Source organism: Homo sapiens, chromosome 5, assembly GCF_000001405.40.
Source record: "Homo sapiens chromosome 5, GRCh38.p14 Primary Assembly".
Taxonomy (NCBI): domain Eukaryota; kingdom Metazoa; phylum Chordata; class Mammalia; order Primates; family Hominidae; genus Homo; species Homo sapiens.
In genome coordinates this window covers 133,397,719-133,412,044 of record NC_000005.10, presented here as the reverse complement: position 1 = coordinate 133,412,044, position 14,326 = coordinate 133,397,719, and the positions used below count along the sequence as shown (strand labels likewise).

The following is a 14,326-nucleotide window of genomic DNA, read 5'->3' as shown; positions in this document are numbered from 1 at the left end:
AATAGGGTTTTACAGCCATTTTTTATATAGGTCCTATGGCTTTCTTGTCAAATTTGTTTACTAATATTTTATGGTTTTTACCATGATTATGAGTAGGTGGTTTTTCCGTTTTTCACCTCTAATTATTTATTGCTACTGTTGAGAGGAATGATTAATTTTGGCATATTTATCATCTGTCCAACTAGTTTCATAATTCTCTTATAATTTTAATATTTTTTCACTGGAGTCTCTTGGATTTCTAAGTATACAGATACATAATCATCAAAAAGAGATCGTTGTTAGCTGTCTTTCTTTTCCAAATGTTAATGATTATTTCATTGTCTTGTCTTATTATACTTCCTTTATGAATAAGAATGATGATAACAAATATCCCTGTCTGGCTCCTGATTTTAATTGGAAACAGTTAGTGATTGGCTATTTAAGGAGTTTTCTTCTATTTCTTTGTCCTTAGAGTTTTAAATGGAATTATTACTGTATTTTAAGACTTTCTTTATTTCTATTTTCACTCTAGGTTTTGAGATATGTCTTCTTCTTGACCTTGGAAGACTGGAGTCTTAATAGTGACCATTGTCTCCTTAAATTGCCCTGATATTCTTAACCTTGGAAGACTTGACATCTCAATAGTGACCATTATCTCCTTAAATTCTTTCCTGAAATTCTCCTGATTTTCTTGTTGGCTCAAAAATCATAGTTCCCCCAAAAGCCTTCTTTGTGCTGTGCTTGATTCTCGTGGCATTTTGGTATTTTGTTGTCACTATTTAAGGTGTCACTCCTCCTCTGCAGTAGCTGTAATTCTAGTCATTTTTTCAGAGGCTGGAGCTCCCAGTGTATATGGTTCTTTTCCATAGCCTGTTTGAAGGCAACACTGAAGTACCTTAAGGCAGTGGTGGTCTCACAGAGAGTACCTGATAGGGCAATTGCTGACCCTGTGAGCTTCTCATAGAAGTAGACAGGTTGTCAGGCCCCAGTGGAGACCCCTGGTCTCCACATGCTCTTCTGTACTCAGGGGTAGAGCAGACCAGCCCACCCATGCATTCAGGAAAGCCAGCTTCCCAGAACCCTCAGGCCCACCTGTCAGAGGCCTCAGCCACTGCTTGGCTCGGTTGAGCCAGGGGATTGAAGTTGAGAATAGATGAAATCAGATTGTCCGATATTGTTACTAAGCTTTGTCTTGATATTATCCAGTGCATGTTTTTATGGCTGATAATCCCGTTGAGAGACAAGGGCAGATCCTTGAGAGGAGAAATTGAAATGCTCCTGATTAGAAAATGGTAGTTTTCTGTGCTAATATTAGATATTTTAACTGAGCCATTTTTTTCTTTAAAAGTAGAATGAAGGAGAAAAGCATGTTGTTATTGTGAGACACATCTATGACAAGTGATCCAACCAAGGCAAGGTGCGGACCGGGGCGGCCCTTGTATGGCAGGTAAAGGGCCCTGGAAGAATTTAGCTCCCCATCTGTGCTGGCAAGTCTCCAAGGATAAAGTGACAAGGAGCATCACGGCGGCTCACAGAGTAACTCCACAGTGATTCTTGAAATAATTGGAGGCAGCCTGGGGTGTCACGGCCTTGAATCATTAGTTGGTGGAAAAGCAGGAAGGAACCCACGTAGTGGCGCATCAGCGAGACGGTGCAGACCGTGGAGAGCAGCAACATCTGGTCCCCTTGGCTCCAAGACGGAGGGAGCCCAGAGGAGCTGGGGAAAGTGACAAAGGAGCTAAGTACCTGAAGGAAAAATGAGGGCCGGTGACAGGGAATAAGACAGATGCGAGCTGAAGAGGCTTTAGGCAAAGAAAAGGAACTCGGGGGTAGGAATATATTTGGAGGAAGTGTCTAAAACAAAGCCGTTTTGTAAAAGAAACTCTCCCAAGGGCAGAAATCGTATTGTACTTGACATTTTTATGCAGCTTTTCTTCCCAAGAAGGTCTCCAAAATAACCCTTCAAAAGCCGGTTGAGATAACTTGATAGGACAAATAGAGGGAAAAGAAAAAGGTTTGTGCAGTTTTATTGTAGCCAAAAGACATCCAAGTTAAAACACAGGCTCTGATGTACATCCTCAATTCACAGATGTGGGATAATTTTTTCCATCTCAGGGATCTCTATACAGCCCTCTCACGTACCCACGAGGAAACTGAGGGTTGCATGTGAAAGAGACACACCTTGTAGATCCCAGGTCGCTATTCTCCCACCGAGGGCTTTCTACAGTCTCCACTCTTTCCACTCAATCTGTGACCATGTCTGTTTCTGTAAAACCATTGATGGATTACTCAGCTCTCTATCCAGCCAGTCTTGGGTCTCTGCAGCATCTTCATCAGATTCAGTCCTCCACCCAGCCCAATCTGTGCCAGGCCTGGTGCTGAGCTCTGAATGAAGTGGAGCCTGGTCCCAACCCTGAAACCACAGACACTGCCTGATGCCCAGCCTGGAGTTCTGAGCAGCTGTGAAGGCGCTGCTGGGGCCCTGCCTCGGGGCCTGCTGTTCCGTCTAAGGAACCACAGGAGCGGGGGTCCTCAGGCCAGCAGGTTGGCAGCCTCCTTTAGGTGGAGGAGATCTGGGAGGGCTGGGGGGAAAGCTCTGGAAATGGTGAGTCAGGTAGCTTCACTATTGTCACAGACAGCAGATGGGGAGATGACACACAGTGCAAAGGGCTCCCAGAAGGAGGAGAAACCATAGGACCTGTCTGTAGCAGGTGAGCCTGAGAGGTTTGCAAGATACGCTGGCATTGGGCCCAGGTCAGGGGATGCCTTTGAAACTGTCACCAGGGTTCCTCTGGCAGGCCAGCGGCCCTGGTGACTACCTGACACTGCCCTTAGGTGTTGAGTAGAGCCTGCAGTTTGTGCTGTGAGTTAGTTCCAGTCACTTTGCCCTAAGAATGTATAATTTCAGACTCCCCTACCTTGGAAGCCAGGCGGAGTTTATAAGGGTCCAGTGAAGCCCTGGCGCAAGGGAAATTGCAAGGGAAGCATTTCCTTTGGGTATTTTGAAGCATGCTATTTTGCATCTGCCTTTTTAAAAACCATTCAATACTTTCAGTATAAATATGTTCACCTTTCCATTAAGGCTGGCCTCCCGAAGACAGCAACTACCCCACATGTTCATGCACTTGAATCAGTAAAACCAAATGGCTACTACTTTTCCAGTCCTATTTATTCAACCTTTCACCAATTCAGTGTCCGAATTGAGCACTTACTAAGTGCCTAGCTCTCTACATGAATTATCTCATGTAATCCTCAAAGCAATCCTGTAAGGGGCAATCCCGTAAGGACCATTGTTATCGTCACTTTTAAATAGGGAAAAGAAGGTGGAACCTTGCCTGGGCTCACACAACTATCAGCTGTGAAGGAGCACAGGACTGGGTGGAGGCCAAGGTTTTACTGTGTTACTGTGTTACTTGAGACCCAGCGGGATCAACACAAGTACCGTAGGAAGTTCTGTTGCAGCACTCCCCCTACCCCACCCCGCCCCCGCTCCACCCCCGCCTCAGTGAAGAGGAGCTGCATCCTCAGCTCGGTCAGCTCCCCCACAGCAGCGTGGCCTCTGGCTCCAGCCCCTTCTCCCTCTGCTCCACCAGGGGACTTTCCCAGGAGAAAGTTCTCTCTGTCTCAGTAAGTCTCAGTTAAGTGGCTTGGAGCCTCACGTTCCTGCCTTTCTGGGGTCTTTTTGTGAGGCTGGGGGCTCTGAAGGAAGATGCCCCAGGCAGAAGAAAGAGATGAGAGACCTTGGCAGCTCCCTCAGGTGACGTTGGTTACTGCAGGGATTTGGGTGGTATTGAGAAAATTATCCAAAACTTGGGAATAAGGGAAAAAGAGGGTGGCAAGTCCTCCCTCTGGGACCTTGTTTACTAGATCTGCCCAAGGATTACTTACTGATCCAGGCTAGAGGGTTACGTCTTTGTTCAACTCACAATTTGCCGCTGATTAAAGGCCCAGACTGTGCAGTGACATGTTAACTTGCACATTTGTTCCCAGTAAAAATGCACATGGTTCTTTTTGGTGGAAAAGAGAACCCGAAAGTTTGTGGTTTTCTTACCCTGCAGATCACTCACCTACTGTGTGCCTAGCCTAGGCATCTCATCCCAACCTTCTTTCTCCAGTGCCCATGTGGCTCCTCAAGTCCTCCTCTGAATCAGCGTCTGCACTGTGGGCTCTCTCATTAAGAAAGCAAACACAGCTTTAACATATGCTCACTTTAGATTATCGTGACAGTCACATTTTTAAGTTTTTGAAAAGTATGCTTTGGCACTTGTGTTTGGTGTTTGATCTTCAGCTGTGACCAGAAATAACCACCTCCAAAAGCCGTGCCCAGGGACATTAGACAATATGTAGAAACCTATTTGTGCTTTGGTTTCATACAAATTGGTTACATAGAAACTCTTTTGGCAGAATTGACAGGCCTCCTGACAGATGAAAGGTGTTCCTTCTCTCTTCTTGTTCCAGGCATTTCTGACTTTGAAGTCAATTTGTCAGACCTCAGGTTAGGATCTGTAAACATTATGCATGGCAGGTTGCATTACCTTCCAGCAATGGATAACCATGTGTTTCTGTTGAGCTTTGGGATTGGAGAATGTGGTCAAGTCTTTCAGAACTGGTCAAACTGCTTTCATCAAGTGCACAAGCACCTCAGCATACAGGCTGTGCTCACCGGTTGAGTTTGAAATCACCTGTGGTCACTGAGAATACATCACATCTGCCCAGCAGTCACCTGTCCAGTTTCAGGCAAAATAGCAGGAGAGGAGACAGGGAGGTGATGAAGATGGAAACATCATAGTGGGAGGTAAGGGGCTTAATGGCCAGGTGTCCATGCATGACAAGGAGTGGGTTTGGGCCTGTGATGTTCACAGATCCAAGCAGGGCTTCCTTCTGCAGCCCTGCAAACCTCCAGCCTTTAGAGAAGTTGCTACTTAGGCCTCTAAGCTATGTGTCCCTGAGGTGGGTGAGGAGCAGCCATCCTGCAGGCCAGGGTTGCTGATGTGTGGATGTATCCTGATGTTGGAGAAGCTCACACTATGGACATCTAGATCCTCCAGGCATGAGTTCCTTGAACTTGAAGCAGAGACCATATCACCAGCTGAGCAGATTATCCCAAGTTCAAGGGATTTGGAGTGAGACTGATTCAAAGCTAGGCTCTACCACCTACTTGCTGTCTAACCATAGGCAAGTCACTTGACTCATGTTTCCTAATCTGTAAAATGGGCATATATTCATGCCACAAATATGTGCTGAGTAGGGCCTCTGTGTCTACTTAATAGAGCTTTAAGGAGGATTAAATGAGCATCAGATGAGCTCATAGATTCTAAGAGTTTAGCATGGTGCCTGGTGGGCCTGCCTCAGTAAATAATAGTCACTTTACACATGGCCTTCTCTGGCTGGGTGTTAACACACACATGTCCTTGGGAGGAATTACAGATTCTCATCCCAACCCTTGAATATAAATGAGGCGTTACAGGGTGGAGGTGGACCTGACGCAGCCCCGGCATCCAGGGCATCTAGGAGTGTGGAGGCCCTCACCAAGGTAGCCTGTAGTCAGAGCTCAGAGAGGGCTGCTCTCTTCCCACCAGCAGCCCTGAGGGGTGCCGAGAGTTTTCTGGCCTCTAAGAGGATAGACCTCTTTCAGCTGGGAGGGCTGAGTGGTGGGATGGCAGGGCCTCACCCCACTTCCCAGGTGGGACAGTTGGGCAGGGTGAAACTTTGCATCTGCCTCACAGCTCCCTGCAGACTGAGTCTGCCTGGTGATGTTTACCTTGGAGCAGGGCTTTAGGAGCCAGGCCTCTTCTTATACCAGGCCTCCTCTCCCTGCATGCCAGGTTCCAGGGCACCCAAGGGTGCTCCACTCTCTCCTTCCCCCAGGTCTCTGCCATCTTCACCGTCAGGTCTCAGGTCTAATCTCACCTCCTCAAAGAGGCTTCCCTGACCAGAGTAAAGTGTGCCCGCTGCAGCACCCTGGTTATTTCCTTCCTCGCATTTAACACCATCTACACTTGTCTTGTTTTTTTGTTTGCCAGTTCACCCTCTTGTGTGTCTTCCTACACTGTCATGTTAGTGCCCTGAGGATAGGAGCCTATTCTGTCTGAATCCTCAGCACCTGGAATCGGGACTGGCACATAGCAGGTGCTCAGTAAATATTTGTTGGGTGGATAGATAGGGGAGGAGCTGGCAGGCAGGAACTGCGGAAGTGCCCCGTTGTTACCACCCACCCCATCTTAGGGTAGACATGGCACGGGACTGGAGCGTCGGGCCTCTGCCTGGTTCTCACACAAACCTGAATTCTGCAGCTGCATACCAGGCACTTGGGTGGTTTCTGCAATGAGAGAGTCGACACTGACAGGCACTCTCTGTCCCTGGACCACCTTGCCACGTGTGAGGGTATAAGTTATCTTAAAGCGGGGAAGAATACTGGGACCGTTATGTCCAATCCCTGGATGCGCACCCCACATATCTGCACATGGCTACATGTACATGGCTCTTCCGCAGGCAAAGCCTCGCTCTGGGTCATTGAGAAACCCAACCATGACCCCAGGCGAGGGCTGCCGCTCCCCTGTGTGTTGGTGTGTCAGTACCTGGAAGATAAAGTATATAAGGCCATGTGTAAGGGCTGTATCTGCCCATGGGCAGGCACTTGGCTGGACAAGTACCTCTGTCTGCAGAAGGTGGAGACAGCTGCTGTACTGGGCCAGGGTTCGTGGCAGGTGGCAGATGAGGTTCTTGAGGTTCTTGATGCTGCACACACTGCCTCTGGTCTTCTGCATTCACGCCTTGCTCTTTTCAGCCAGTTTTGGGCTTTCCAGTGACTGCCTCCTCAGAGCCAAGCCATCACCTCATTGAGGCCTCATAGTGAGTTGGGGTGAGGTTGTGGAATTCAGTGCTAGGTCGTGTGCTGGGGGCACTGACAGCCTTCAGGAGCAGGCCTAGGCAGAACATCTGGCTGAGATGGGAGCAGGGAGCTCCCAAGGCCTGGTCAGGAGAGACAGGGCTGTCATCAATAGTCAAGCTGGAGATGAGGTCTGAGACACAGAAAAGCTGTGTTGGGAAGAACGTGCCAGCAGGCCGCTGGCATCCAAGAGTGGAAGAGCTCGTGGGTTTTCCCTCACTGCCACTTGGGGCACTGTCCCTGAGAAGGGAGCACTCGTTAGTTTTCTTTGGGCCCAGGAAGCGGTTACAGAGGCTGAGTCAGTATTTGGAAGCAAAATTACCCAACTGTCTGTGCTCTTGGTTGTGGCTGGCTGTGGGAGAACAACGGAGGGGCTTCCTGCTCCATGTGGATGTAGACTCACTCTCTCTGGGGCCCATCTCAGGACTCAGCCTCCTTTTATGCCTTCCACCGGGGTCAGACGGGCTTGCCTTCCACAACCGCTCAATTACACCACCTGTACCTATCTATGCTCCCAGTTCATGGCAGTCCTGGGTCTGTGACATTCTTATTGAAAATCCTTATTCAGATCACAGAGGGAGTCTTCAGCACCAACTGGTACCAATAGACTCATTTCTCCTGCCGCCATAATGTTAATGTAACTGTTCCCATTTCTGACCATGTTCAGTAAATTTAATTTGTGTTGGAAAGCAGCTTATTTGGCAAGATGATCAGTTTTTAACCTGAGTAAATGGCTTTCTTGATGACTATAAATTAAGCCCATTGTACTTTTCATGCATTGTGGTTGTCCTCATAAATACTATAGGCAGTTGCTGGTAGTCTCACTTGGTTACCTTTCCCATTACTGTTTTATCATCATTGTGGTAGGAGTGGGGAATTCATTCTGTTTTAATGACAAGGAGGAAGTGGTAACAAGGGGCTTGTTTAATGAGGAGCCCACCCCTGGGTCAGCATCTGTGTAGCTGTGGATCAGATTCTGGGCCTTACCCCGCCCGGGGTATCCTCAGCCCTCTGTGGGGCCATTGTGAAGGGCATATGCAGGGCCTTCATGCTACTTTTGTCTTAATTGCAAGTAATCAGGAATCAAATATTTGCCGACAGCCAATTTCCATGTCAGGGAGAACCTGAGTGTTCTTGACAACTTCAGCAGCCACAGGTTGGCACCAGTGTTTCCTTAACACTGACCCCTCAGAGTGCAGCCTGCAGGGAAGGCCATGGGAGCCTCCCCAGCAAGTTAAGCAAACGTAGGTGCCTGCTGCCCTGTGTGACGCTGGGCCTCAGAGGTGCTCACTACCATCTGGACACACAGCTTTCAAAGGAGGGGGTCAGGGAAAGTAGCTTCTCCCCCCAGCCCCCCATGAACTGGCTTTGGTTTGCCTGCCTGGGATGGAGTAGGTGGTCTCTGAAGCCCCTTCCAACTCTGCTTCTCCAGGATTCTAGTTCTCTTTACTCCAGAAGACCCACCTCCACGGACATCCATCTTCCCCTCATACCTCCATCCTTCCACTTCCTTCCTGCCCACTTTGGAGAAGGCAAGGGAAAATGTACCCCTACCGGGTCAACACATGTGAGGCTTCACCACCCTCCCCATCCGAGCCCCTAGCCTGGCTTCTTAACTGCACTGAATTAGCCTTCAGGAGATCAGTTCTGAAAATTTCTGCATTTCTTAAAACCTGAGTATACTGGGGCCACACGAGGAGCAAGGCCTAGCACCTGTGGGACCTCCTGAGGCCAGAGCAGGGCAGGCACTTTGGGGTAGGAGGATTCAGAGAGGGACACTTGGACTTGGGCTGGTAGCAAGCACTTCATAGAGAAAATGCCTACAACAGTGACTTGGAGCTGGTTTAGCCAGAGGGAGAAAGCAATGGGGGCCAGGGCACACGCTCTGAAGCAGGCTCGGAGAGGCCAGGGCACAGAGACTTTGCCTCTTGTTTCTTCAAAATGGGCAATTAGTGGGTTGCATCCTATCTGCATGGGAAGGTTATTAAAACAGTGATCCCATGGCAATGCTCTGCGTCCTGGCCCTGTCTTGGGAGAGAAACAAAGGCTGATATTTTCAGAGCTGTTAGTTTCTTCTAGTAGGCGCCAGCACTTTCTAGGGTAACCCATTTTCCAACAACCCAGGAGAATCACGCTAATCAAATATGCTCCATGGCAAAGCGGCCATAAACACCGTGAGTGGGGGGCCTCCAGCCCAGAGCCTCCCTGCCAGGCGCCTGCCTGCCTTCCGCCTCCTTCCCTCCCCGCCACCATCAACCTTGACAGGAAGGCGTGCAGAGGGGCCGCTGAATGCCACTGGGCCTTCATGGTGACATGCGAACAATTAGCAAAGTGGATAAAAGAGATTCCCGCCTCCTTAGGATCTGCACTTTTATACTGCTCAGAGATATTTGACCTTCTAGTTTATTATGATTCAAGAAAAAGTCAATACTTCTTAGTTTGCCAAGGCTGGAGGAATTTAAATGAATTATTGAATCAAGCAGTTAATCTGCCGATAACTGATTTTTTTTCCTTTCAAATCTGTAATGATGAAAAGCAGACTTAACCAAAAACAAGAAAAATATATTTTTTTCTTTTTTTTTTCTTCTTTTTTGCTTAGACATTTTAATCCCATGGGTAGGACCCGGGGCTAAAAGTTTGGTCATGATTACTAGGGCCATTCTGTCTTGCTGAGTATTTTGATGGAGATTTAATTAACACTTAAAGCAAAGTCTTCTGAGGCTGTAAAAATCTGTATTCACATTTCAGTTGTCTTTTGGTGTCCCTGTGTAATTCTCAACTTTCCATCTGTACCTTTAGTGACATGTGCTGATTATCTCATTTCCAGACTCCCAGAATGCAGTGTGATGTTGGTGATGGACGCCTGTTTCGCCTTTCACTTAAACGTGCCCTTTCCAGCTGCCCTGACCTCTTTGGTGTGTGAGCTCTGGGTGCTGCTGCCTGAGATCACTGTGGGTGTTGTAGGGTGCAGGGGACACTCAAGCAATGTGGCAGCGCCCGTTTCCAGGGGCTCAGCCTTCTTGCCCATAACTGCAACATTGTGCTAGAAAGGACTGGGCTGTGGGGAAAGGCTGCTGGTGTCTCCCCTGATGACGTGTGTCATGGAGAACCACATTCTCCCCCAAGGAAATGGCCAGCCTCTGGTCTCCCTACCTCGGCTACCCCCACCCCCATCCTGAACACTTGGAGCATGACTTTCTTCTTATGCCACGTTTCCTCCCTGCAGTGACTCCCCAGTGCCTACAGTAGTGTACCTAAATTTCTCTGCTTGGCTCTCCAAGTCTCCCAGAAATCACACCTTGACCCCCAACCCCACCACTGTACAAAACTCCTACTCACATCTAGTCTTCTACCTGAGACCTGCAAATGCCACCCACAGGGCGGCTGGGGGAGTCTTGGCTCAAGCCTGCTGTGTTTCTGGGAAAACCTTTCTCTCCTTTGCAGGGCCCACTGGCACATCACCCGCTCCATGATCTCCGCCACTCCCAGTTACTTCTTCCAAACTTAGCTCCCTGGCTCCCATGCTCTTTGCCTGATCTGCATACATGTCACCACCTTACAGAATGACAAAGTCAGAAAGAGGGAAAGGTATGACTTGTTCATCTTTGAGACCCCTAAGGTGCCTAAGACACAGCCTGGTCCAAAGTCATGACATAGTAAAGGAAAAGAAGGAAGGAAGGAAAACGTATTGCAGGCAGGGGGTGGAGGGGACCACTTTTTTAAAAAGTCATTGATTTTAATAGGCCTCTAGTCCAGGAGGCTGACTGTGAGCCTGGGAGCAGTAGTGGCAGGCTTTGTCCTTCTGTGCAAGGTGCTTCTTTGTGAGCACGGAATAGCTGGGTGTTTTCATTTTTCAACTGGAAGCAGGAAAAGTAAGCCTAAGAAAGAACCAAGAGTTGATCAAAAGCCCCCAGCTGGGTCCTAGGTTGGAAAGGTGTTGTGTTTCAGATGTTCAGAGTGAGTCAGCCATGAAACCTGAGCTCTGCAAGGCAGGACACCCTTCTTGGCACCAATGACCACCTCATGGAGGGACAGGGACTCCCTAGGAGACCCCAAGCCCCCAGGCCCCACCTTGAGTAGCTTGGCTGCACAGGCAAATGGAGTCTGTGCTTGTGAGCTACAAAGGAAGCCCTCGACCCCAGACCCTCTGAGTGTTTACAGCTGACCCTCTGTGTTTGTGTGTCTGGCAGGGCTTTCCAGCCACAACGAGCTGCTGGCCTCCTGCGGGAAGAAGTTCTGCAGCCGAGGGAGCCGGTGCGTGCTCAGCAGGAAGACAGGGGAGCCCGAATGCCAGTGCCTGGAGGCATGCAGGCCCAGCTACGTGCCTGTGTGCGGCTCTGATGGGAGGTTTTATGAAAACCACTGTAAGCTCCACCGTGCTGCTTGCCTCCTGGGAAAGAGGATCACCGTCATCCACAGCAAGGACTGTTTCCTCAAAGGTAGGAACAGGGCCCTTGCCCTGTGGTTTTGGGTTTTGTGATGGGTCTTCCAATGCCTTTTTGACAAGTGACCTGGGTGCTGAGTCTACAAGTTACATATGTTTAGGAAATAAAGACAAAGACTGGTGTGTAACAAAATAGCAGCAGTGGCATTTTGGTGATGCATACTCTGTGTCCCACCTCCAGAGACCCCTGCCCTTAGAGGAAGCTCCTTGGGGAGTAGAATCCAGGCAGGTCAAATTAAAACCTGGCTGGTACAGGTTCACTAGGGACCAGGCAACAGGGCACTACCCAGGTCTCCACATAGGACGGGCCTTTGCAAGGTTGTGACAAGGACCATGTTTACCCTTCTGCACAGAGTCCCATGAATCAGGAGGCTGTGCTGTGCATAGAATGTGGTCAGGCAGACACCAGCGCAATGTCTTCCAGCGTGACAAGGACACAAACTCTGGCCTGGGGCAGTTGTTGATGGGAAGGCATCCCATGTCTTGCCTGTCCAGAACACCTCTGAGCAAGACAAGGAAGCCCCTGCATGGACATCAGAACATGTCTGTGGAGCTGGGGCCAAGGATTCATGCTTTAGGCTGAGATTGAGTCAGAAAAGAAGGGAAGTACCAGCTCCCACTAGACGGTAAGAACCATTAGGGCAGCGGCTATGGCTGTCTTATGCGCTTATGTATTAGCACCTAGCACTGTGCCCTGCACCAAGAAAATGCTCAATGGCTCCCAGATGCTTGAAGATACAAGGGTCAGAATGCACATCCTGGGTTGATTGATGTGGCCCTGGTAAATAGTACATGCCATGGCCTGTGGAAGTATTTATTGTATACAAATATTTGTGTACAAAATGGGTATACATGAATTAGGAAGTGTGTAGAAGACAGAAGCAGCTTGCAGGCAGATGGGAACAGGCCCACATAGCCTGAGCTACGAGAGCCCACTTGGAGTTATGTGAGGTCAGGAATGTGCTTTAGGTTGCACAGGGAGGAGAGGAGGAGGCTTGGACTAGACACCTGCCAAGTGCCTGCAACACTAGAAGACAAAGGCGTGAGAGCAGTCCAGGCTGTAAAGGCCTGGGCACCAAGTGGGAAGGGGCAGAGCTCCTGCCTCACCCTCACAGAACCCCACTGAGGATGGTATGATGCTGACACACCTGAGCGGAGGCGGATTCATGGCTGAGGTGGTGGAGCAAAGGTGTGTTGGCCTCTGTTACATCTATCTGTGTCACCTGCACCCACCTAATGGGCCACTCCACTCAGCAGTCGTGGCAGCATAGAGTGCTAGGCAGGGCAGGGCTTGGGAAATGTGCCTTTACCGGGTGATGACAATAGTCTTGGACACTTTCACAGCTGTGCTTATGATGCTAATGCCAAGGTGCTTCAGAGATCATGAGACACATTATGGAAATGAGGCCAAAATGAGCCTAGGAAAAACGTCCCCATTCTGGAAGCACTGCCCAGCCACGTGCCGCCAGTTCCTCTGCAACCGTGCACACTAAAACACTTGACCAGTTGCTCCAGCTTTATTGGCCGTGTTGAATTTTATAGACTGATGTTCCATTCTCTGGTTTCCAATATCCTTCAAATTGCATCTTCCTAAAGGTTTCTATTTCTGCATCAGAGTGTGCACACCCTCCCTCACCATTGGTTATTCAAACAACATTTCTCATTTAATGGGAGGGAAAAACCAGCCACCACAAAACCCACCGAGGTGAGGAGTGATGGGGACAAGCTGGCGTGGAGCGGGGGGCAGGCAGCCTTGAGCAGATCAGGGCTCAGTTCTGCTTCATGCTGATTGAATTTATCCACCGAATCCTTCTGACTCATTGAGGTTTTCACACATTGTGAGTTGCCGCCCACTTGGTATAGCAGTGCTCCTCTCTTAAGGACCCCTTTTTGGTGGAGAGTGGTGCCTGTGAGCTCCCAGAAAGACCAAGGGTGGCATCTCAGTTCTGGTACTTCCCAGCTGTGTGGTGTTGGTTGCATCACTCTGCTTCTCTGGGCCTTTTCCTCGACTGTAAAATGGGACTAATGGCAGTACCCACCTGCTGCAGCCATGGAGAGAAGTGAAGGAGGGGCTGCACAAGCACCACTTAGCACGCTGCCTGGTGCATGGCATGGATTTGGTGTTCATGAGACCTGCCATCATTATTTATTCTAATCCAGCGTGGCCACAGGCCGAGAGTAGAGAGATGCACAAACTGTGAAGAACGCAGAGGCAGGAGCAAGGGTTCTGTCTGGGAGGTTTGGGGAGAGATTTCTGGGCCCAGATTATTTAATGGTAGCTGGAGAGTGGGTAAGGAAGACATGAGTGTCAGGCAGACACTCATTGCTGGGGCCTCTCCCAGCAATGTCCACCTAGAGCCAGGGCTTCTCTTTCTGCAGATGGCCTCTTGGGTCTGGACTCCAGTGGAAAGCCTTCAGTGCCTCACCCTCAGGGTCAGCTGTAGTCCTGGTGGGAGGGCAGAAGAGCTGGGCTGCCTCTCCTCGATCATTCCCATAGGGAGTGCCCAGCAAACAGGAAAGACCTGGGCACTGATTCACAGGAGCCTGACGGATGGAAGGCAGGCCAGCCCTGAGGTGAATGCCTTGGGGTGAGCACGTCACCTTCACCAGAACCATGGCTCCAGGGGGGAGTAGAACGAAATAGATGACAGAGGCTCTGTCGGGAACCTCTGTGGGGACAGAGGGTCCTGGAACAAAGGAGGATATAAAGAACAAGTTCCTACAGTCCCCACCCCACAATGGCAGCAGAATATTTAATAACAGCTTGAGGTCCACGAATGACAGTTTGTCATTTGTCCCAATTTTCCAGGGAGTTATTAATACAGGAAACAAAAAAATACCTTGTTTTTCATGCAAGCAAAAATTCTAAAATCATCCATCTTTCATTCTCTATTTCTATCAGACTTTACAAGAAGAAGTTGTGACTTCATTCTCTGGGACTTTATCTGTCCCCAGAAATCAATATTAGGACAAGTCCTTGTGCAGCTGGAGTGTGTGGAGCAAGAGGAGAGAAG

General features: G+C 49.3%; 1 protein-coding gene across 3 annotated transcripts in view, besides 2 other annotated features; it reads left to right on the top strand.

The window, feature by feature from the left end:
• Positions 1–14,326, top strand: part of FSTL4 (follistatin like 4) — a 645,613-nt gene that overhangs the window by 430,023 nt on the left and 201,264 nt on the right. For all 3 annotated transcript variants that reach the window (XM_011543283.2, XM_011543284.3, NM_015082.2), the window contains exon 4: positions 11,059–11,307. In XM_011543283.2, the coding sequence (XP_011541585.1) occupies positions 11,059–11,307 (249 nt within the window). The remainder of the gene's footprint in view (positions 1–11,058; positions 11,308–14,326) is intronic.
• Positions 9,471–10,385: an enhancer, noted in NCBI's record as "H3K4me1 hESC enhancer chr5:132737352-132738266 (GRCh37/hg19 assembly coordinates)". NCBI's record gives its function as "activates a minimal SCP1, AML or CMV promoter by ChIP-STARR-seq in naive H9 embryonic stem cells {active_cell/tissue: H9 hESC(naive)}" and the evidence as "EXISTENCE:reporter gene assay evidence [ECO:0000049][PMID:30033119]".
• Positions 11,075–11,609: an enhancer, noted in NCBI's record as "H3K4me1 hESC enhancer chr5:132736128-132736662 (GRCh37/hg19 assembly coordinates)". NCBI's record gives its function as "activates a minimal SCP1, AML or CMV promoter by ChIP-STARR-seq in naive H9 embryonic stem cells {active_cell/tissue: H9 hESC(naive)}" and the evidence as "EXISTENCE:reporter gene assay evidence [ECO:0000049][PMID:30033119]".